The 22,879-nt window shown below is 41.2% G+C and overlaps 1 protein-coding gene across 6 annotated transcripts, besides 8 other annotated features; it reads right to left on the bottom strand.

The window, feature by feature from the left end:
* Positions 1-397: 397 nt before the first annotated feature.
* Positions 398-9,660, bottom strand: RNF7 (ring finger protein 7). Of its 6 annotated transcripts, none has more exons than NR_037702.2 (4): positions 9,442-9,660; positions 5,051-5,314; positions 4,402-4,449; positions 398-2,799 (listed from the first exon to the last, which is right to left on the bottom strand). NR_037702.2 is itself a non-coding variant. In NM_014245.5 (3 exons), exons 1-3 carry the CDS (start codon positions 9,614-9,616, stop codon positions 2,681-2,683), a joined length of 342 nt encoding a protein of 113 aa, NP_055060.1. In that variant the 5' UTR covers positions 9,617-9,660; the 3' UTR covers positions 398-2,680. The 6 variants fall into 6 exon arrangements, 3 of the variants coding, with proteins under 3 accessions (NP_055060.1, NP_899060.1, NP_001188299.1); NR_037703.2 differs by having other exon boundaries at positions 9,449-9,660; NM_014245.5 differs by lacking the exon at positions 5,051-5,314.
* Positions 8,509-9,187: an enhancer, noted in NCBI's record as "NANOG-H3K27ac-H3K4me1 hESC enhancer chr3:141457613-141458291 (GRCh37/hg19 assembly coordinates)". NCBI's record gives its function as "activates a minimal SCP1, AML or CMV promoter by ChIP-STARR-seq in naive H9 embryonic stem cells {active_cell/tissue: H9 hESC(naive)}" and the evidence as "EXISTENCE:reporter gene assay evidence [ECO:0000049][PMID:30033119]".
* Positions 9,188-9,367: a silencer, noted in NCBI's record as "silent region_14779". NCBI's record gives its function as "represses an Ori minimal core promoter by ATAC-STARR-seq in GM12878 lymphoblastoid cells {active_cell/tissue: GM12878}" and the evidence as "EXISTENCE:reporter gene assay evidence [ECO:0000049][PMID:35858748]".
* Positions 9,188-9,867: an enhancer, noted in NCBI's record as "NANOG-H3K27ac-H3K4me1 hESC enhancer chr3:141456933-141457612 (GRCh37/hg19 assembly coordinates)". NCBI's record gives its function as "activates a minimal SCP1, AML or CMV promoter by ChIP-STARR-seq in naive H9 embryonic stem cells {active_cell/tissue: H9 hESC(naive)}" and the evidence as "EXISTENCE:reporter gene assay evidence [ECO:0000049][PMID:30033119]".
* Positions 9,188-9,887: a biological region, named in NCBI's record as "NANOG-H3K27ac-H3K4me1 hESC enhancer GRCh37_chr3:141456933-141457612".
* Positions 9,388-9,627: an enhancer, noted in NCBI's record as "active region_20636". NCBI's record gives its function as "activates an Ori minimal core promoter by ATAC-STARR-seq in GM12878 lymphoblastoid cells {active_cell/tissue: GM12878}" and the evidence as "EXISTENCE:reporter gene assay evidence [ECO:0000049][PMID:35858748]".
* Positions 9,628-9,887: a silencer, noted in NCBI's record as "silent region_14778". NCBI's record gives its function as "represses an Ori minimal core promoter by ATAC-STARR-seq in GM12878 lymphoblastoid cells {active_cell/tissue: GM12878}" and the evidence as "EXISTENCE:reporter gene assay evidence [ECO:0000049][PMID:35858748]".
* Positions 9,978-10,027: an enhancer, noted in NCBI's record as "active region_20635". NCBI's record gives its function as "activates an Ori minimal core promoter by ATAC-STARR-seq in GM12878 lymphoblastoid cells {active_cell/tissue: GM12878}" and the evidence as "EXISTENCE:reporter gene assay evidence [ECO:0000049][PMID:35858748]".
* Positions 10,068-10,117: an enhancer, noted in NCBI's record as "active region_20634". NCBI's record gives its function as "activates an Ori minimal core promoter by ATAC-STARR-seq in GM12878 lymphoblastoid cells {active_cell/tissue: GM12878}" and the evidence as "EXISTENCE:reporter gene assay evidence [ECO:0000049][PMID:35858748]".

Here is a 22,879-nt window from a genome sequence, read left to right as displayed (position 1 = left end):
AGCAGCAAAGTGCTGCTTTTTCGTATTTCTTTTTTTTTTTTTGAGACAGAGTTTCGCTCATTGCCCAGGCTGGAGTGCAGTGGTGCGATCTCGGCTCACTGCAATCTCTGCCTCGTGGGTTCAAGCGATTCTACTGCCTCAGCCTCCCGAGTAGCTGGGATTACAGGCACCTGCTACCACACCCGGCCAATTTTTGTTAGAGACAGGACTTCACCGTGTTGGCTAGGCTGGTCTCGAACACCTGACCTCAGGCAATCCACCCACCTTGGCCTCCCAAAGTGCTTGGATTACAGCGTGAGCCAACGTGCCCATCCATGTCCAAGCATTTCTATATTGAAATACAACTGAATTACAAGTTCTTTTTAGTTCTGTCATATAACAATTACATACATTTAAATTATATGTGTAGGAAATATATTTATGAATTTCACTTCATGACAGTAAAGGGGGACACAGTATTTTTATAAAAAAGGAAGCAATGGGACTGACAGAATTAAGATTTACTGATAGCGGTCAGCTGTAATAACACAATTTGCATAGAGGGAAAATTAAATAGCGAAAGATAACTTGTTTGTTTCTAATGCAACAGTAAAATAAAATCAGCACATTTAATCAAATGGAAAGAAAAACCTGTTTGATGCTTAACTTTTGTATTGGAACCCAAAATTGTCCCGGCATGTTCCCTCTGATGAGTATGTATTAAACTTTCAGATGGCTGTGCAGATGAGCTGTAATCATCGCAGGCTGAGCAGCATCAGCGCTGCTTTGTCACAGTGCCTCCTCTTCCCTCAGATGCTGGTGTGTGGCATAAACAGGGCTTTGTTAGGTGGCGGGACTGTGGTTTTGCTGTGTGGAAAATCAAATTGTTACCACCATCCTCCACATTTCATTTATATACTGTCACACTGCCTAAAGTAACCTGACATTCTACTGCTTTCCTCTTCAATGCAAAGCCATGTATCTGGTTCACATTTTAAGGATGCAACCTTCTAAAAAGGTCAAACAGAAAGTTACTAAAACAGTTCACTGCACAATGATAAACATTTAAATGGCCAAAGATATTTGTATAATTTTTTCAGTAGCTAGAAAGACAACTGTGAAAAAATATAAAGAAAAATTTCCAGAGAAATGTGATCAATAAAAAGTAACCCATATAAAAGCATACATAATTTTAATTTTTCATTCTAATTGTTATCTTTTTAAACATTCTATGTATCCACATCCCTTAGATTGAAAAATTCAGAATGGCACACTGCATCTGCAGATGTGAAAAGTTAAGATTCTAAGGTTTTTTCTTAAATTCATATCAGTAGCCTCTACTACAGAAGAATACAAAATGAACTTGTGGTCCATTATTTGTTACAAAATAACCTCCCCTCAGTGTGAATCAGTTTGATAAAGTTGTTTAGTATTTTCTTGCACTCTTTCCAGGTAATAAACCTTAAATTTTATTATTGTCAAATGAAAGAGCAAATGAATATGAATTCTTTCAAATTAAATGAAAGTATTTACTTGACAAATTAAGGTTGCATATAAAATTATAATGACAATTCAAATAAGGTAAGCAGAATAAACCATTTATTAAAACACTGTGTGATAAACTTTTTGATCCAATGCTACACTGGTAAACATTTTCCCTCATTAACATGTTACCTAAAACACAGTTAAATTATATCATCTGGGCCAGGTGCAGTGGCCCACACCTGTAATCCCAGCACTTTGGGAGGCTGAGGTGGGCGAATCACCTGAGGTCAGGAGTTTGAGACCAGCCTGGCCAACATGGGGAAATCCCGTCTCTACTAAAAATACAAAAATTAGCCGGGTGTGGTGGCACACACCTGTAATCCCAGCTACTCGGGAGGCTGAGGCAGGAGAATCACTTGAACCCGGGAGGCGGAGGTTGCAGTGAGTTGACATCATGCCACTGCACTCCAGCCTGGGTGGCAGAGCAAGACTTCACCCCCACAAAAAAAAAAAAAAAAAATTATATCATCTGACCAGAACTAGAAAATACTTCTGTCCTTTACCACTCAATGATTGAACAGTGAGGTGAGTGCAGATCTAGGTTTTCTTGATGAATCAATGATACAGAATAGTAACTTTAAAGGCAATCAAAATTCCATATGCTCAAAAGTTAAATTTTATTTACCCTGTTCACTGGCCCAAACTTAAAATCCTTATATCACATAAAGATTTCATGGACCGTTCCCTCTCCCTGCCAAAAATACGTATTAGGAACAAATTAAGAGTAAGAGTTGGGTTTTAAACTGCACTTTATTTGTTACTGTAACATTCTTTTTTAACTGATCAACCATAAGCATGCAAAAAGTTCTCTGAAACTGCTTCCACTGCCTGTTGTATAGAAATGGGTAAATTATAAAGGTGATTCAATTTGGAGCTCTTTCCTTTTTTATAGCACTTCTAAGCTGTGTGCGCGACACACACCACAGAGGTAGGAAGGACCACCTTTAATAAATTATCTTCTTAATCGCAGAGAATTTCTGAAGATAAAACTGACAAAATGCTAAACCAAGGCTTTGATGAGTCCCAAAGGACCACAGATCCATCGGCTCCTATTTGAAGAATTCATCCCCTGTAGTGTTCTAGCCTTTGTAGGGCACTGGATTACAAGATCCACCAGGGCTCTGAACAACTGCGCTAAGAAGCCTTCTAACCACTCTCATTTGCCGATTCTTTGGACCACCCAGTCCTGCTGGCAGAGAGGGCAGCGATTGTTCTGTTTCACCCACAGGGACATGCAGCAGTTGTGGAAGGAATGATTACATTCTCCCCAGACCACTGAAAGAAAGAAAAAGAAGAGTTGACATTACATATTTCAATTTAAACACTGAACTCAAAATTATAGCTTATTTTATATTACAAATAATAATCTTGAAAAAAGATAGTTAATTGGCCAAAATAATGTTTTTCTATCTATAAAGAAACAGAAACTTAAATGTGTAAGTTACACAGAGACATAAGTCACTGTTTGAGAGCCTTTCCATCACTGTTCTAGAATCTATGGGTGATGTGATGACCCCTAGTTCCTACACAGCTCCACATGCTGTCTTCTTGAAGTTAGATGAATGTTCTTGAACCTTCCTTAGATCTGACCTTCTCAGTCATGCACTGACCTTAGAGATCTTCTGGGCTTTATTTTATGGGAAAATGTCCTTCCAATTTTTATTTACCAAGACAGAATGAGTTGTAAATGTTTTTAGTATGCAGTAGGCTATTATAAATAACATGCTTCTAAACATTCAGTTGTGCATCTGAGCTGAGCTGTTTTCTAGAAGTGATGAATTGTGTTAAGTCACCCATAAGCAGTGCAATTCCTCATGTGACGATGAAATTTTCAAAGTGGCTGGCTGGAGAGAGAGGTCTCTCTGTGATCAAAGAAAGTGGCCTGCCCCTCACAATTCCCAAATTAATACTTTTTAAACAAGCAGCATGAAAGAAAAACTTTAAAACAAGGGAAATCATCCACAATCTAGAATGCAATCTCGAATTTGGGATTCATCTGTCCCTTGCTTGATCAACTGAGCTATATGACAAGAGAAAAAGATTAAATGAAAGAAATAAGGCAGAGAAAAAGATTAAATGAAAGAAATAAGGCAGAAAAAAAGAAAAAAATGCCTATGAAAATTGGCTACAGGGGGTAGGAAGCAAGGGTGAAACATTCTAAGCGTTTCAGGAGGAAGAACTGGATCAAAACTGCAAGAATCAATATTAAGAAGTTCTATGTACACCATGTATTTGTGTTCTACGTACACCATGCAAACACAAAATACAAAGCCAATCTTTTATTCTAAGAAAATCTATAAACATGTTTATATAGCAATCTAGACTTGATCACCTCAAGAACTAGGGCATAAAAATCTTTGAACTGCCTAAAATATTTAGCCTACGACAACTTTTGTAGTCTAAGACTCTAAAGAAAATTTGATACACAAACCACATTCCAAAAATATACTTGAGACTTAGAATTTTTCTACTCTGGTTTTAAAGTTAAATACTGTATTATAAGAGTATTGAAAAGTGAAATGCCTTATTAGAACCAAAAGTGACCTATAACATAGCCAAAATTCAAATAATGTTTTGACAAATTTCTGATTTTATAATTTTCTTAATAGAAAATATTTAATTTTTGATTACCAAAATGTTTATTATGACCATGTCTGGAATATATAACCAATTCTTCTTAATTATGGCAATAAAAGGACTTGCAGGTTCATTCCATTAAACTCTTTTGAGAACCAACATATTTTATATTAACAATGGATCACTGCTTTACAGTTTATTTTTGTGTATTGATAAAGTCAATCTTAATTTCAAATTCAAACATCCCTACTGAGAGAAAACCTTCAGTTGAAAAAGCAAGAGAACAAAATTACAACATACCAACACAGTCCTCTTGTTTGTTTTCAGCTTGACATCTAAGACAGGCATCTAAAAGTAAACAAATAGCGATTCTCATTCTGATGCTCAGAATGCAATTTTTAAAAACCAGACACTTCAAAGTCAAAAGCCCTAAGGGTTAGGGATGGCAATAAAGACTCATACTATTAATTTCTCATCTGAACATAACTACTTAAAGAGGAATAAAGTACAAGGCATTCTACTAATTATAACCAGGAGCAATTTCACAAGGGTTAACAAATCCTCTATTTTTATAAGCTCTGATGAAAAGATGTCCTGACGGTGCCAAGAGAGAAAACTACTAGAGAAAAATATGCCATACTCCACTATATTCAAAGTTACCATACGCTTACTGGGCATGCTCATGGACAGTTTATTTTCAAGACACCCTTTAAATAAACCATATATATATGTTAGCATTTGTTTATACATACATCAAGAAACACTAGGATACCCAAGGAACCAATAATAAAGTTTACTGGGAGGGTTTGGAATGGGAAGGAGAGTTTTCACTCTTCCAGGTAATATACATAACTTCCTCAATTTCTGAACTATATGAATATATAACTTATAAAAAATTAAATTAAAAAATTGCTTCATAAACAAGTTTTTTAAAGTCATCCATACTTACTGACACAGAAGCCTTCCTTTAGCAACTCATAAGAAGCAACTTTTTACTTTCTACCCTAAGACACTTGAGAGTTCCTCTAAAATAAACTGCTTTGTATGCTTCCAATAGGTTGCTACCGATGGTCATCCAGACAAGGCTGGTGAGAAGCCAGTGAGACAGAGGGGACAGCGAGGGCTGTGGAGCCAGATCTACAGTCAAATCCCATTTCACTGGCATTTATTAGGTTCAGGGCCTCGGACCAATTACGAACTCCAATTCCCTCATCTGTAAAAAAGGGACAATACTGTGAGGTATTTATATATTAAGTGGGGATGATACAAACTGGTGAGAATTTTACAGATAAAATAAGTAAATACTAGATATCCCTAAACACTAAGGTTTTTTCTTTGTAAGAAAATGCTCGCCTGTAATCCCAGCACTTTGGGAGGCTGAGGCGGGCGGATCACGAGGTCAGGAGATGGAGACCATCCTGGCTAACATGGTGAAACCCCGTCTCTACTAAAAATACAAAAAATTAGCCGGGCGTGGTGGTGGGCGCCTGTAGTCCCAGCTACTCGGGAGGCTGAGGCAGGAGAATGGCGTGAACCCAGGAGGCAGAGCTTGCAGTGAGCCGAGATAGCGCCACTGCACTCCAGCCTGGGCGAAAGAGCGAGACTCCGTCTCAAAAAAAAAAAAAAAAAAAAAGAAAATGCTTGAGAGCTAAATGATGAGAACACATGGCCACATAGCAGGGAACAACACACACTGGGGCCTTTTGGAGGGTGGAAGGTGGAGAGGATCAGGAAAAATAACTAATGGGTACTAGGCTCAATACCTGGGTGATGAAATAATCTGTGCAACAAACCCTTGTGACACAAGTTTATCTATGTAACAACCCTGTACTTGTAGCCCTGAACCTAAAAGTTTTTTTAAAAAAAAAAAGAAAGAAAGAAAATACAGATAAGTCTGAGCCCAAAGTATTTACCCAACAATGGTAAAGTCTTTTAATAAATTACTTTATTACTGGTTTCTTGGGTATCCTTCTAGAATTTCTTGATGTATATATAAACAAATACTAACATTATATGTATGGGTTATTTAAAAGGGTGCCTTGAAAATAAACTGCCCATGAGCATGCCCAGTGAGCTTATAGTAACTTCTAATATAGTGGAGTAGGTGTAAATACTAAAAATGAGATCCTAAAGGCTGTACTAGAAGTTTTCAAAATTCAATCTGGAATACTATCAGCTTAATGAAAAAAGTAATATAGAATATTTTAGGGAGCAAAAATGGACTCATTCACTAGCTGGAAGAGGAGTCAGAGTTGGGTAAAAGGAAGTTTGAACCAACAGAAAATAGTTTTTAACATAAATAGGAGAAAAATAATTCTGTAAAAATAGAAACACGGTTAAGTTGAAGCCTGCTTCTCTTCTTACACTGGATTCTGCTCAGGCATTTGTTTGCTCCTTTCCACATGCTCTTACCCTTAAAAAAACACCACTGCCCTAGTCTCTTCAGTGTGGATTAAAAACAACCACTGCCTCCTGAGGTTTTCTTCAATCCCACAATTACTATCTCCTCTGTGCAAGGAGTTATGCACTGGGGACACCAAAATGACCAAGGCTGGGTCTCAAGGGGCTCAGGAGCAAATGGGGACGTAGACAAACACCTAAATATCATGAGGGTTGTGATATAACAGTGAAGACATCCTACCTGAATCTGGCGCTAGTTCTGTGCAATCACAGAATTTTAATATTAAGGTTGGTGATCCCAACTGCCTCTTTACAAATTAGGAAAATAAGGCTCCAAAAAGTTATGTGAAATATCCAAGGTGATACAGTCATGAAGGGTTACTCTGGCTATTATAACTGGCTGTACTAGCAAACCTATTCCCCTTTTCATCAGCACTTGCTCACTGTGTAATCATCACTCCTTTCTGAATGAAGGGAGGAGAGTGGAAACGAAGAGAGTGTTATCCATATCAGAATGGGCTGACAGGCAAGTCTTGGGAGCAGAAAGTATAATAAATCACAAGTGTGTGAGACAAATTCCAAATACTAAGGAAAGGGAACTAAGTGGGTTCTTGTTGCTGAATTTAGGAATCTCTAAATTACACTTATAGCTCTGATGTAGATTATCAAAACTGACCCAAATCTACACAAATTCCTAAAGTTTCAGATAAAAGATAAAAAATTGCTTTAATGATCTTCCTAGAATCTAAAACAGCACATTTCTAAGGAGTACAATAACACCTTTTAGAATGATGCTAGGGTAAGGACTAGGAAGTCTGGAAAAAAAATTTCCTTCTGCTGTCACCTGACCTCTAAGTGGGTTTTAACACCTCATAAACAAAATACAAAGGTCTAGCCTAGAATAATTTCCTGAACCCAAAGTACAGCTGTTGTAAATATGCAAGACTGATCCTGTAGTAGCAGAATACTTGCTATAATTAGAAAGTTTATGATGAAATGTGTCATTTATAGTCTATACTTTGACCTACATTAAAATCTCTCAGTAAAGTTTATTTGTTGCAAAGTTTCAATCATTATTTCAGGTTATACATTTCCACTTACTCTTTAAATGTTTTTCCTTTGGGGAGGAAATAGCTTTTTGGGAGACAAATCTTTTGAAAATACCCTTTGGGAACATTATTTTTAAACTGGAAAGGAACTAAGTGAAAGCTTAGTTTCCTTTAAACTAAAGGAAATTTATTTAGGAGATAAAATGTTTAGCGAAACTTGTCTTAAAAAAAAAAAAAAAGAGTCTCCTGGATCAGTTAAAAATGCTTCCCAAACTAGAAATTATGATTCCTAAGTGGGGGTAGGGGCAGCTGTATTGCTGGCAAATAAACTAGATACTTTTAAAGCCTCATATGTTTTGTTTGTTTGTTGCTGAGACAGGGTCTCATTCTGTCACCCAAGCTGGAGTATAGTGGCAGTGGCAGTGGCAGGAACAAGGCTCACTGTAGCCTCGACCTCCTGGGCTCAAGGGATCCTCCCACCTCAGCCTCCAGAGTAGCTGGAGGCCACCATGCCTGGTCAGCTTTTTATTTTAATTTTTAATTGTACAGACAGGGTCCTGCGATGTTGCCTAGGCTGGTCTCAAACTCCTGGGCTCAAGTGATCCATGTAAAATAAGTGGGTCATGTCTAATATCAAGGTCTTTCAAAAGAGAAAGATAAAAATATCTGAATCCAATTGTTGTAAATCCTCTTTGAAACAAGCCCTTAGGAATAAAAGACAAAAGAGCATAAACTGCGAAATCTCTTGATTCTGGTATGTTTACAGTCTCACCCCCCTTAAGGTGAGCAATTCTCTGTATGTTCTCCAATTCTCTCATTTTTCAAGACAAGTCACAGTTTTCAAACGATAGAAATGTCCGTTTTCTTTAACTACCCTCAATAAAGAATTCCACTGAAGAGGGTCTCATAGTAATTTTAAATGCCCTATCTGAAAATACAACTTGCATTTAAATAGCACCTGCTTTTCAAAGTGGTCTGAGTTCTTAGAACCATATAAAATATAACAAGATTAAGCTGTTCTGAAAAGTTTCACTTGGTCTAATATTTTAACTCAAAATATCACAGAAAGAAGACATATTTGTAAGAGGGTTCTCCACAAAGGCATGACTCAGAGCAGCACAGTATCTTCTCCAGGAAATGGCATCCAATATGGAGAGGGGGGTGTGATGGAGGTGAAGTTTTACGTTTCTGAAAAAAGGGCTTACAATTCTTCAGCTTCCATGAAACTTAGATATTCTTGAACCACACTGTTCCCTTCAAGCCACGCTAGTGCTATCTGACCCGTCTTAAATCAATCCAGATTTAAAAGCCATTCGAAGAGCGGCGGTAAGCTAATCCGGAAATGCAATGGCTATGAACACTTTCCTGCGTCCCTCGAGGAGAACTAAGGGTGTCGTTTTGTGGAAGATGACTCTGGAGCATCACTTTGGTGGTGACCAAGACTATTAAAGTTCACTGCTGAATCACGGCCTTTACCCTGACCACCTTGTGTTGAGCTTTTAGAGGTGGGGCTGGGGCTGGACACACAAACCGAAGTGTTTCCTGCTAGTTCCCAACAATCACCCGGTTTTACTTTCTTGGTCACACCCATCACTACCTGAAATTACCTTGTTTAACTCCGTTTATTGCCCGTCTCTCTCCCTAGAACACCAACCACCCGGCGCAGGGCGCCTGTTGCACAACCCCGCAGCCCCAGGCGGCGGCCGCAGCCCTCAGGAGCCGCAGCAGGAGCGTGGCTCCGCGTTCCTCCGGCGCCGGGGCAGGGCGACCTCCACCCACTCTCCCAGGCAGGGCACTTTCCGAGGCTTCTGACGGACGCCCGTCCCTTCCCAACCCCGAGGTCGGCTCCCGGAGGCCGCAGGGCGGCCCTGGACTCGCGTGCAGCGCTTACCCATCACCTGGACCCTGCAGATGGCGCACGTATCGCACTCCACGTCCCAGCTCCACATGGCCACCGCGTTCCACTTCTTGAGGGAGAACATCTTGTCGCCTCCCGACTTGGAGCCTGAGCTCCCGGAGTGAGAGGCCAGGGCGCAGGTTTCCTCTCCGTCTTCCACGTCGGCCATGGCGGCGCCGCGGAGCCGACGGCGGAGACGTTGGCTTGGGGAAGGCGGAAGGCTAGGGCGGCTCTGTGGAGCCGCCCGACGGGCCACAGCGCCGCCCGCAGGCCGCCAGCCACCGTGGTGCCTAGACCCCGGCTGCCCACGATTGGCTGGCGCGGCACAGTGACGTCACCTGACGCCAGCGCCAGGGGGGCGGGCAGGCCCCGCCCTCGCCGTCCTAGGCCAACTGAGAGGGCTCGGGCCCTTATGGGGCGACGCCGCTGAATCTGCCTGCTGCGCTGCGGGGTGTTACGTCTGAGCAGGCGCACAGATTGTGCAGGGATATGTGTCCTGCTTTACGGCTTCATTAAACCTACTGCTCTCAGAAATTATCTTGTTAATTTATTCGTTTGTCTCTTCCCTCCCAAATGTAAAACTCTATCAGAGCAGGAAACATGTTGCTATCACCACATTATCCTCCGTATCTGCAAAATGCCTGGCCACAGGAGGCACAATTATTTGTTGAGTGAATAAATGATCTTAAAGATCTAGAAATCTGGTTCAGTGATTCTCAAAACTTTTTGGTCCCAGGACTCCTTTTCACTTAAAAATTATTAGGACCTTAAAGAACTTTTATTTATGTAGGAAATGTGTAAATATATATATATATACACACACACATATTATGTATGAATATATATACACATATACAATGAATATATGTATATTCATATATACATACATTTCCTGTATATGTATACACACATATGTAGAGATTAATGTTTGCTTTTGAAGAAATTAAAACATTTTAAAATGTATTCATTAAAAATCACAGTAGTAACCTCATTACAGGTTATCATTAGAGGGATGACTTCACATACCATGTAGTTGCTAGAAACTCCGGTGTACACTCGTAGAATGAGAGTGAAAAGAGAGAAATAGCTCTAAATATTGTTAGGCAACTAGTTTGCCCTCTTTTGACCGCTAAAAGAGGTCGGGATCCCAGGAGTCCCGGTGTGTGGCGACACAACCCACACTTATTTTTCAGGCCCCGCTCCCTCAGCTGCACAGTCTCCATTCCTTCTGCTCAGTACATTTGAGCTAGTTTAACTTCCTCTTTTTATATGTAGGACTAATGAGGTCTGAAGAAGTGAAATGACAAAGATCACATCGTTATTATAGTAGTGCTTCTACGGCTAGCCCACCATCACATGTGTTTCCAAGAAAGCCGGTATCTCCATTGAAAAGAAAACAGAAGCACAGCCAGCCTAAGGAGATGCCTGACCCCACCATCACCTAGTGGTGGACAGCTACTCTGTCAAGTTTGGATTCTGAGCCTCTCCCCATCCCCTCATTTCCTGATACCTGGGCAAAAGCTAACCAGACTAATGGAGCCTGGCAGGGGAAACAAGAATGCATTAATATACAGAAACATAAATATGGACACAGGGTCACATTTGGTTAGATGCAAATGCGTATTTGTTGAGTGGTGTGTTAAGGGCTGTGAGGGTACAGGATGCAGTGAGGGAAAGCCTCATGAGAGAGGTAGAGGATGCAGTGAGGGAAAGCCTCATGAGAGAGTAGAGGATGCAGTGAGGGAAAGCCTCATGAGAGAGGTAGAGGATGCAGTGAGGGAAAGCCTCATGAGAGAGGTGAAGTTTGAACTGGGGGAACATGGGAGGTCTTCAGGGCCAGTGGAGAGAGCAAACCTCTCTGAGCTGTTGGCCAGAGCAGGGCACAATGGTGGCAGCAGACAGGAATTGGACCACACCTACTTTATAAGCCAGACACCCATTGGAGTGAGCACACAAAACATGTGTTCTCTTCTTACTGAACGACCACACATCTGCCTAGAGATGGCTGTAAATGCTAGGTATCTAACAAAGAAGGAAGGCTGGCACCAGAGGAGGATAAAACGCACCCAGTTGGTGAGAAGTTTGAAAGTCAAAAGGATGAAATGGTGAAAAGGAAAAGAATGGTTTCGCTGGAGGAATGGTATGTGCCCTTGCTGAGGCATGAAATCTGGAGAGAGGTGTCTGCTGCAATGAAATTTAAAATAGAAGCCAGGAGGGAGCATAGGGGCGGGAAGTGGGAAGGCAGGTGGAGGAGATGAGTACAGTTTTGACACACTGCATGTCAGGAGAACTTTTTCTCCTGACAAAAAGAACAGGAATGAGTGATGCGCCAGAGTTCAGTGCAACAAGCAAGCATGCATGGGGAGAAAGGAAAGCAGGAGTGAGGCAGAAAGTTCAGGCTGCAGCAGCTGTTCAGGCGTGGTGGGGCCAACGGGTCCCCTGTGATTACCTTCCTTTGGTTCACCTTCATGAGGGCTTGTCTGCCATCATGAGCACCCAAAGGGCAGGAACTATAGGTGGCCTTGAATGCAGCAAAACAAATATCTGTCCTTCTCATGGCCTGCTCAGTTCCCACTCCACCACTGTGCATTGTTCCTCTCACCAGTCCTTGGTGTGTGGTGACACAACCCACACTTATTTTTCAGGCCTGGCTTCCTCAGCTGCACAGTCTCCTTTCCTTCTGCTCAGTACATTGAAGACGTAGTTTCTTTCATTTTGAGGACTTCTCTTAAGCAAAATATTTGAGGACTAACTAATAAATATTTAGGAAAAACTTGTCTCAGTACAAGTGGACATTTTTGTTATTTCTTTGGTCCTCACTCCAACCATCATTTCCCCCTTCTATGCCATTCATCTTTAACAAAATAAGTTTTCCTGTTGCCAGGGAGGTAAAACTTTCACTCTACCCTCTTAGGTTCAGTATTCGGGGGATTGCAAATTAAACCAACAAAACACAGCTTAGCAGGAGAAAAGATAGATTTTTATTCACTGAAGCAGTCAGAGTTCACAGAAAATTATGACTCAAGGAGCAATTAGAATTTGGGGCTTATATACTGTCTAAATAAAGGAAAGGGAGAAGGAGAAAGGGCACTTCTGGGAAAAAACTTTCAGAAAAGATAAACAGGCCTTTGGGAGAATAGATGGGAGATATGATAGTTTTGTGACAAAGTCTATTAGGTGATTTATTATCCCAGTACCAACTTCCTGTTTCTAAAGATAGGGTCAATCTTCCCTGGTTTTGAAATTGCTGGGAAGGAATTTAAGACAGTTGAATTCTTTTGAGAGGCAAGTAAGTTCAGGGAAAAAATTAAAATAAAATAAAACAACTCTTCCTGCATCCACTGATTCTCAAATGCCTTTAGCTCAAAATAATCCTTATGCTATAGTGGCATATTCTGGACTTCTTTCCTGTACTAGGGAAAGAAATAAAAACAAAAACAAACCTGATGACATTTGCTTGTTGAGCTGGAGTAGTTTCCCCAAAAGGACCAATGTTTGGAACCATAATGACAAAGCAAGAAAATTGTTCCTAGAGGCTAGAGATCAAAGCTAGCCCGAAATGTATAAGCTGCCTCCTCCTGGGAATGTCCTTCTAAGCAAGTCTGCTCTCCATCACACTTGTCAGACAAGAGTTATGGCTCATCTTTTTTCTTGGAAATAATTGTGTTTATGTCCATAGGTCCCTGAGCATTTTCTGGTCTTCTTTGGTCACATGGAACCCTCCAGTTCATTTGCCTCTCTTGGTCTTAGGTGAAGGTGCTATGGCCGGAAATCATTAGTCCTGCCACCCCACTCCCCCAACACACACACACACACACACACACCCCATACTGAAAGCGTACATGTGACCAAGGCAATCAGCCTTTGTTGGAGAATTCCTTAAATCCTCCCAACATTATATTTCATTAATTGTAGACATCAATCATCAATTGTGTGACGTAAATCAATTTCGGATGTAAAAAAAGAAGTGATGTAGAATATTTCAGAATAGATGAAAAATGAAATAGAAAAACCCATGCCTAAATCTCATGATGCCTTCTTTAGAAACCTGGTGACTTTCCTGAGAAAGTAGAGTTTTGGGGATTGATTTTAATCCATTTGTCTAAAATTGCTCCACATTGAATCTTCTTGAGCTGCAGGTGCGGATGAGTATAGCACTGTGTGTATGCTTTTGTCTCTTTTTTGAAATTTGCTGAGTTTTTTCTATTAGATATTGGTGACATCGGCTTGAATGGCTCATTGTTGCTTCAAACTTGACAGGTGAAAGGGAGTTCATTTCCTTTCTTGCAAAATTTAGCTTTCTTTCAACAATTCCCTTTCTCTGCCTGAGATGTAATTCTCTCGTAGGTATAACTGTCCTGGTCTGAAACCACGGTCACTGTTGACTCTTTCCCTTCCTCGCCCTTCATACGTAATTATCTGTTCATTCTTTCTTTAGAAATTTCTAGAATCAACCAAACTTTCCATTTCCTATTGTGGAGCTTAACCTCATCACCCTGCTTCTGGATTACAGTGTATTGACTTCTTCCCTGCCTTTCCTCCCCAGTCTAACTGCCATTCAATCTAACATGCCTGGTTAATTTTCCTACCTCCTGACACTCTCCTGCTCAAAATGTTCCAAAGCTCCACATTATCATCAGAACAAAATCTAAATGTCCTGATTGTTCATTTAAGTCCCACCACAATATGGCCCCAACCTACCTGTCAAGGCCATCCCCGGCACCCCTCTGCAGGATCCTCGTGAGACTGGTCTGCACAGTCATCCAAGTGTACCATGGATGGTCTTTTCCTCACATGTTAACATCTCTGAAATTGGATAGAACTTCCCCTACCTTCTTCAGCTGGATTGCCCTCTGTGCTTAGAAAAAATGTACTCATCTTTCTGTTCTCACTGGCCACTCTTTGCCACCACATATTCATGTCCTCCCAGGAAATCACAGCATTTACTGTGCTTCTTCTACACTTTTGGCACCAGGTCACACAGCAAGCAAAGGGCGCTGTTACAGATGTTTAACAAGCTCATCATAATTTATTGAACAATTTTAAGTTTTTAAAAATTGACAGCTCACAAATGATAAAAACAGTGAAACAGGAATACAATAAAAACCCAAGTACCATTAATAGACTCTCCAGAAATTCCTGTATATGCACAAGCAGACACACAATGCATCAATTTAAAATTTTTTTAAATTGTGGTAAAATTTGCGTAACACTTACCATCTTAACCATTTTAAGTGTACAGTTCAGGAGTGTTTAGTATGTTCACAGTGTTGTGCAAACAATCTCCAGAACTTTTTCATCTTGCAAAACTGAAACTCTGTACCTATTAAACAATAACTCCCTCCTCACACGTACTCCCAACCACCATTCTACTTTCTGTCTCTGATTTTGACTACTGTAAGTATCTAAGTGGAGGCATGCAGTATTTGTCTTTTTGTGACTGACTTATTCACTTAGCATAATATCCTTAAAGGTTTATCCATGTCGTAGCATGTGTCAGAATTTCCTTCGTTTTTAAGGCCGAGTAATATTCCATTTTATGTATATATCACATTTAATTTATCCAGTCATCTCTCCATGGACATTTGGGTTACTTCCACCTTTGATTTATTGTAAATGATGCTGCTTTGAACATGGTGTTCAAATATCTCTTAATGACGCTACATTCAATTCTTTTAGATGTATACACACAAGTGAAATTGCTGGATTATACTATGTCAATTCATTTTTGTATGAATTTTTCACATATACTATTCTCTCACCTGTTTTTAAAAATGGTGTTACTTGGATACTTTTCCATATAAGCACTTATGTATCCACATTATTCTTTCAATGACTGCATAGTATTCTACCACACACATTTACTGTGATTTATTCCCCTGAAACTCTTTGAGAAAAATTTAGTTATTTCCCACGTAAAATAAAGAGTGCTGCAGTGAACATCCTCATACATATTTCCTTGCACACATGTGACAGTAAACAAATTTCTAAAAGTAGAATGGCCGAGTCAAAAGCTATGTATTTTTCATTTTAATAAACACTGCCAAAAGACCCGCTAAAGGGGTATTCTGATTTTACACTCCTACCCAGTGGATACGTGTGGCAAATTTCAAAAAAGGTCTTTTTGACTTTTATTTTCATTTTTTTTTTTTTTTTTGACGGAGTCTCACTCTTTTGCCAGGCTGGAGTGCAGTGGCATGATCTCAGCTCACTGCAACTTCCAACTCCCTGGTTCAAGCTGTTCTCCTGCCTCAGCCTCCTGAGTAGCTGAGATTACAGGCATGGGCCACCACGACCAGCTAGTTTTTGTATTTTTAGTAGAGATGGGGTTTCACCATGTTGGCCAAGATGGTCTCGATCTCCTGACCTCGTGATCGGCCCACCTCGGCCTCCCAAAGTGCTGGGATTACAGGCGTGAGCCACGGTGCCCACCCAGTCTATTTTCATTTCTTTTAAGCAGGAACAGTTCTCAGGAGCTCTCACATATTGGATACATCAGTTCTGGTAAATTTGTTACATTGATCTTGTTACTCTATGGCCTTTCTTATCCTGCTTAATGACACATATTTTTCCAAGTCATATACTTTATTGTTGTTCACTTTTAATGCAAGAAAATCTTGTCTTTTTTTTTTTTTTTTTTGGAGACGGAGTTTTGCTATAGTCACCCAGGCTGGAGTGCAATGGCGTGATCTCAGCTCACTGCAACTTCCGCCTCCCGGGTTCAAGTGATTCTCCTGCCTAAGCCTCCCGAGTAGCTGGTATTACAGGCATGTGCCACCACGCCTGGCTAATTTTTGTATTATTAGTAGGGACAGGGATTCACCATGTTGGCCAGGATGGTGTTGAACTCTTGACCTCAGGTGATCCACCCGCCTCGGCCTCCCAAAATGCTGGGATTACAGGCGTGAGCCACCGTGCCTGGCCGAAGATCTTGTCTTCTTAGCTAGATCCTAAGACCCTGGAGAGTGGAGCTAATTTACTATACCATTCTTACCCTACAGTTAGTTTGATTCCAGAAACTTGCTAGCACTTGTTAAATTTGTAGATAGAATGAATGAAGTTTTCGTTTTTTATTTTTACTTCAAAGTGAAGAGGTCTTCAGTCTTCTTTTTTTCATTTCTTTCCTATGTTTCTTGTGTGGTTGTCATAGATGAAATAACTGGCACCACTCAATTCTAACATCCACAATAACAGCAGCAATAATAAGAGCCACTCATATTTATTTTTGAGTGTATAATATGAACAAGGCATTGTTCTCATTGTTCTAAAATGCTTGACATGTGTGGTCTCATTCAATGCTCACCAATTGAGATAGGCGCTACTCTTTTTTTTTTTTTTTTTGAGATAGGGTCTCACTTCCTCACCCAGACTGGAGTGCAGTGGTGCAATTATAGCTCACTGAAGTGTTATCCTCCTGGGCTTAAGCAATCCTCCTGCCTCAGCCTCTCAAATAGCGAGGCCTACGGGCACATGCCACCACAGCTGGCTAATTTTTAAATTTTTTGTAGAGATAGGGGGTCTCACTATGTTGCTCAGGCTGGTCTTGAAGTCCTGGCTTCAAGCGATCCTTTTGTCTCAGCCTCCCAAATTGCTGGGATTACAGGCATGAGCCATTGCACCCAGCCCTGCTACTCTTAACTATGTCTTACATAAGAGGAAACTGAGGAGCATGAGGTGAACTGACTTGCCCAGGCTCAGTACCTGGAAAGCGGCAGTTCCTCCATAGAGACTTCTGGTTCATCTAACTGCCTAGGCCATGCTCTTCATCCTGCACCATAATTGTTGTGGCATATAAAACTCAACTCACCCACTGTCATCTGTATATCAATCAACCACACCTCTTCCATTTCTCACGGGGCTATGTGGCATCTTCAGGGTGGGGCAGAGGAATTAAAAGTTTCCTCATTTGGCTGGGAGCTGTGGCTCACGCCTGTAATCCCAGCACTTTGGGAGGCCAAGGCAGGTGGATCACCTGAGGTCAGGAGTTCGACACCAGCCTGGCCAACATGGTGAAACCCTGTCTCTACTAATAATACAAAAAATCAGCTGGGCATGGTGGTGCGCGCCTATAATCCCAGCTACTCAGAAGGCTGAGGCAGGAGAATCACTTGAACCTAGGAGGCAGAGGTTGCAGTGAGCCAAGACTGCGCCACTGCACTCCAGCCTGGGCAACAGAGCAAGACCCTGTCTTAAAAAAAAAAAAGTTTCCTCATTTAGGGAGGATCCTCATTTTTAGGGATGGTGTCTTTTAGGAAGTGGTTATTATTTCCAAGCATTCTTATTGTTCCCAACTATAGGTATATTTATGAAAGAGGATTCTTTCTTTTTTAGATAAAAGTATGATTTCCTTCAACTTATAAATTTCATATGCAGGAGAGATGAAGCCTCAGAGAATTGCGTCTTTTTTTACTAAGGCCTACTTGTGAAACCCACATTTTAGAAAATGACAAGTGTGATGGGATCATCACAAGACAGGATTATCACATGACTTTAAACTTTCATACAATAATCATCAAATTTGAGAACTTCAAAGGGACTTGGTTACAGTGAAAAATATTACTATAGAATAAGCAATATCTATCCGGGTGTATCTGCTTGGCCATGGAAATAGATGACATCCATATGGAAATATAGCACCTATATTCAGTTTTTAGTCTGTGAAATAATAAACAGGCAATCATAAATTATAGAAAAAAGGGAGTTCAACTTCTTACAGTAGAGAATAAACATATATAAAGCATTACCTCCTAAGAGGTAGCACAGCCTTCATAAAGAGTTTAGGTAAATTTAAAAGTAAATTTATCTTTTCAGATCCACAATAGGCTAGCAGCAACTAGGATTTGGGTAGGGGTGGGAATTAAAGAGGGGAGGCCCAGTCTGTGCCAATCTTTGAGGAAACTGTTGTTCTCTTACTTACTTGTCTCTTGGTTCAATCATCATCCATCAGATTGGAATGATGGTTTAGGGGAGCGTGACCTAGAACCTAAATTCTCATATAATCAAATGCAAAACCTGCAGCTGATGGTGCTGTCTGCCCCAAGGGCCCAGGCTCCACACAGCACTCCCTGGTGGCTGCTCCTCACTGACACAGACGTCCAAGAACTTACCTTTTTCTTCTTTTTATGCATAGTGTTAGACTTCTTGCTATTTTTCCAAATTGATCTGAAGGTATCTGAAGAGATCTGGGGAGTGACTGTAATTTTTAAGACCGGTAGTTTACCTGCACGGGGAAAGAACATAATCATAAATAGGTAGGATATCTCACAACTACATTAGAGGGAGTGGGTCTTAGGCTTCTGAGAGAGGCATTCTCCCACATTCTTATTAGCCGAGTGACTTTCCTCTGACCTCATACCTCTTCCTTATACCTTCTTGGTGCGAGTGATGCTGACAATTAATTTACCTCTGAAGTAACTTCTTACACTTGTCCTGTCTTTCCCATTCTCACTGTCATGTCTTTTACCTGGATGATAGAGTAGCCTCCTAACCAGTTTTCCTAATCCCAAACTTCCCCAACCCCAAGCCCATCCTGGACCCTGCTTCCAGATTAATCATCTGAAAGCAACATTCTGATCTTCTCATTACCAGCTCTAATACCATTACTGGCCCTCTTTCTTTAGTAGACATCTCTTGTTTCCGCCTACCCAGCTTCCATTTCAGCTTCTTTCTGCAACAGCACTTTGAGTTTGTTTTAGGGTTCCACTCCCCTGCCCTCCAGGGTATGCACGTAGCCCAGGGATGTCTAGTGTATTTCATCTCCCTGGCACAGTGATTGGTTAACAGGTGTGCATGTGACTCATGGTCCTCCAGTGAAAGTCCAAAGAAGAGCTCCTTCTTGAGATTATTAACCAGGCAGAATGTAACCCTCTGGCTAATGCTGCTCAACTTGCCCCCATGTGGGAAAGAGCCTGCCTGAGAGTAAAGTCAACACAGCAGCAGAACTCCCAGGAGATGGAGGTGGGCGGCGTTATGTGAACCCTTGATTTCAGCTGGACTTTAAGCTAGAACCACCCTGGACTTACAGGAGTCAACAGATTTGCTTTTGTACTTAAGTCAGTTTGAATCGGTTTTGTATCACTTGAAACCCAGAGTTCTCACTGATTTTCCTATAAAATAAAGACTCAAATCCCTAATGTGTTATTACAGAGCCTGTGTCAACCCCTCCTCCATATTCTTTCCCATGGAACTCTCCCTTCTCCTCCTTCCTGCTTCTCATTTAGCCATACAGCTAGGTCCTGCTTATAAGGCCGGAGGTGCCTAACACTACAGTTTCTGGAGGCCAGGCTTCTCCAGGGAGAGGCCAAAAGCAGAAGGGAAAACAAGAAATACAGTTGAGAGGAAAAACAAGAACTTTAGAAAATAGTACTGAATTTCAGCTCCAGAGGGTAAATTGAGGTTGAAGTATGAAAATGCTTGTACAAGTATGAGGTCAAATCAGGCTGGGCACAGGAAAGAGCAGTGGAAGGCAAGGTGGATGAATATGGAAAGGAACCTGGAGGTGTAAGACAATGTGGTTTAGAATGTCACAACTTGAGGCCGGGCGCAGTAATCCCAGCACTTTGGGAGGCCGAGGTGGGCGGATCACCTGTGGTTGGGAGTTTGAGACCAGCCTCACCAATGTGGAGAAACCCCGTCTCTACTAAAAATACAAAATTAGCCAGGCATGGTGGTGCATGCCTGTGATCCCAGCTATTTGGGAGGCAGGAGAATTGCTTGAACCCAGGAGGCGGAGGTTGCAGTGAGCCAAGATCACACCATTGCACTCCAGCTTGGGCAACAAGAACGAAACTGTCTCAAAAAAAAAAAAAAAAAAAAAAAAGAATGAGCCAGAAATCAGATACTAGCACTTCCTCCTTGTCCTTTCTTCTCCTTCTTCTGGTCTGGAATGGAGAGGAGAGGTCACAGGTGTGGGAGCCACCTTGCAGCCATGAGGATAAGGGCCACTTGCTGAGGTGATGGTGGAGAAGGAGAGAAGGAATCTGGGACGTTGATGATGTGGTGCAGTAGCTGTACCTGCCCAGTCGTCTTCCACCTGTGTAGGGCACTGTAGCTGGTTCTGTTACCTGTAGCCAAACACTATCTCTATATGATGCAGTATTTAATCGGAAACAGGTATAAATCCTGGCCAAGGAGAAAAACAAAGCTCGGAGTTAGAAATATAGAGGACAGGTCCAAAGCAGGGGAAGGCAAAGTCTTCAGTAGGAAAACAAAGGTCAAAGTCTTGACCACTGAGGCAAGGAGGGAGTGTGGGATGCACGGCGCAGGCTGTGAGGTGTTTCATATGCTACAGACCATTTGAAATGGGGCCAGGAGTGTGGAATGGAGACCAGCTGAGACCTCAGAGGATTCATGTGTCGCCTAAGCTCACAAAAGACTGTTATGTTTCCTGGATGCCACACTTTCGGTCATCCTTTCTACTTATTTTCCACTTATAAAATTCTACTCATTCTTCAATGAAGCATATCCCAAGTGTTTGAGACTTCCTCTTCTTTTGAGGAAACTAAGATGATTTAAGCCAGCATTAGGTATTGACCTGGAGTTATATAACAACAAATTACATGGTGAGAAAGCTAGGCACTTTTCAATTCTCTCTTTAAAAATATTTTTGGCTGGGTGCAGTGGCTAGTGGCTTATGCCTGCAATCCTAGCACTTTGGGTTTCAGGAGTTCAAGACCAGCCTGGGAAAAATGGCAAGACCTAACCTCTACAAAAAATTTAAAATTAGCCAGGCATGGTGGCACATGCCTGTAGTCCTAACTACTTGGGAGGCTGAGGTAGGACGATCACTTGAGCCCAGAAGTTCAAGGATACAGTGAGCTAAGATCATGCCACTGGACTCCAGCCTGGGCAACAGACCAATTTATTTTCTTTCTTTTCTTTTCTTTTCTTCTTTTCTTTTCTTTCTTTTTTTTCTTTCTTTCTTCTTCTTTCCTTCCTTCCCTCCTTCCTTCCTTCCCTCCCTCCTTCCTTTCTTTCTTTCTCTCTCTCATTCTCTCTTCTCTTTCCTTCCTTCCTTCTTTCCCCCTCCCCCTCCCCTCCCCTCCCCCTCCCTCTCTTCTTCTTCTTCTTCTTCTTCTTCCTCTTCCTCTTGTTCTTCTTCTTGTAGAGATGGGGTCTCCCTAGGTTGCCCAGGCTGGTATCGAACTCCTGGGCTCAAGTGATCCTCCCACCTTGGCCTCCCAAAGTGCTGGGATTACAGGTGTAGGCCACTGCACGTGGCCCCAAGTTCTCTTCTGCAGAGGCAGCCACTTTCAACTTATTCAGCAGTTTTTCATGATATTTACTGCCTGATTTTAAACAAAGTGCTTATTATATTATTTCTTGATATTTCCATTTAAAATTTTACATATTGACTTTTGTAACTTCCTCTCACCAAGCCTCCCAATAAAGATATATCACAATTTTTAGTTAAATCAACACTTGGTGTATTCATTGGTATATTTTTGTACATATTTCATTGTATATCTGTCTTTTGTCTAAGTTAATAATTGCCTGTTTTGTCATTTGCAGAGTTTTCTGTGTACTTATTCTAAATATTTTCCCACAGGTTTCTGTCATTTCAAATATACTTATCAATATTTCTTTCAAAACACCTAAGTATCTATTTTTTATTTTTGTATTTTTAGTAGAGATGCGGGTTTCATCATGTTGGCCAGGCTGGTCTTGAACTCCTGACCTCAGTTGACAAAATACTTAAGTATTTCACATGCTCTATAAGTTCAGTTTTTAACCAAGTCTTTCTCCTTTACAAAGTCTTCTACTTTTCTGCTCCAATTTGGATTTACCTCAACCATCATCTGGGACTCCCTTTTTTACTGTCCTATATTGGGCCTTCCGATTTCTGAACTTGGCGTTCTTTGTTTTTGTGGTTTATTTTATTTTATTTTTATTTATTTATTTTTTTGAGACAGTCTCATTCTATTGCCCAGGCTGGAGTGCAGTGGTGCGATCTCGGCCCATTGCAACCTCCGCCTCCTCGGTTCAAGTGATTCTCCTGCCTCAGCCTCCTGAGTAGCTGGGCTTACAGGTGTTTACCACCATGCCTGGCTAATTTTGTATTTTTAATAGAGAGGGGGGTTTCGCCAAGTTGGCCAGGCTGGTCTCGAACTCCTGACCTCAAGTGATCTGCCTGCCTCAGCCTCCCAAAGTGCAGGGATTACAGGCATGAGCCACTGCGCCTGGCTTGTCTTCCTGGTTTATTTTCTCATTTTGCTCAAGCATGTTCTTTGGAAGTTTCTTAAGAATAGACTCAGAGGAGGCAAATGTTTGGAATGTTTGCATGTTGAAAACATCTTTATTTTGGCCTCATACATGGTTAGAAGTTGGGAAGGTATAGACTTCTCATAGAATTGTCACAGTAGCACTTTGTTGCCCCTAGCTTCTAGTTACGAAGTCTGATGTCATTCTAATTCCCAGTCCTTTGGATGCAAAT

The sequence above is a fragment of the Homo sapiens genome, chromosome 3 (assembly GCF_000001405.40).
Source record: "Homo sapiens chromosome 3, GRCh38.p14 Primary Assembly".
Classification (NCBI taxonomy): Eukaryota; Metazoa; Chordata; class Mammalia; order Primates; family Hominidae; genus Homo; species Homo sapiens.
This window is presented reverse-complemented; position numbering and strand designations above follow the sequence as displayed.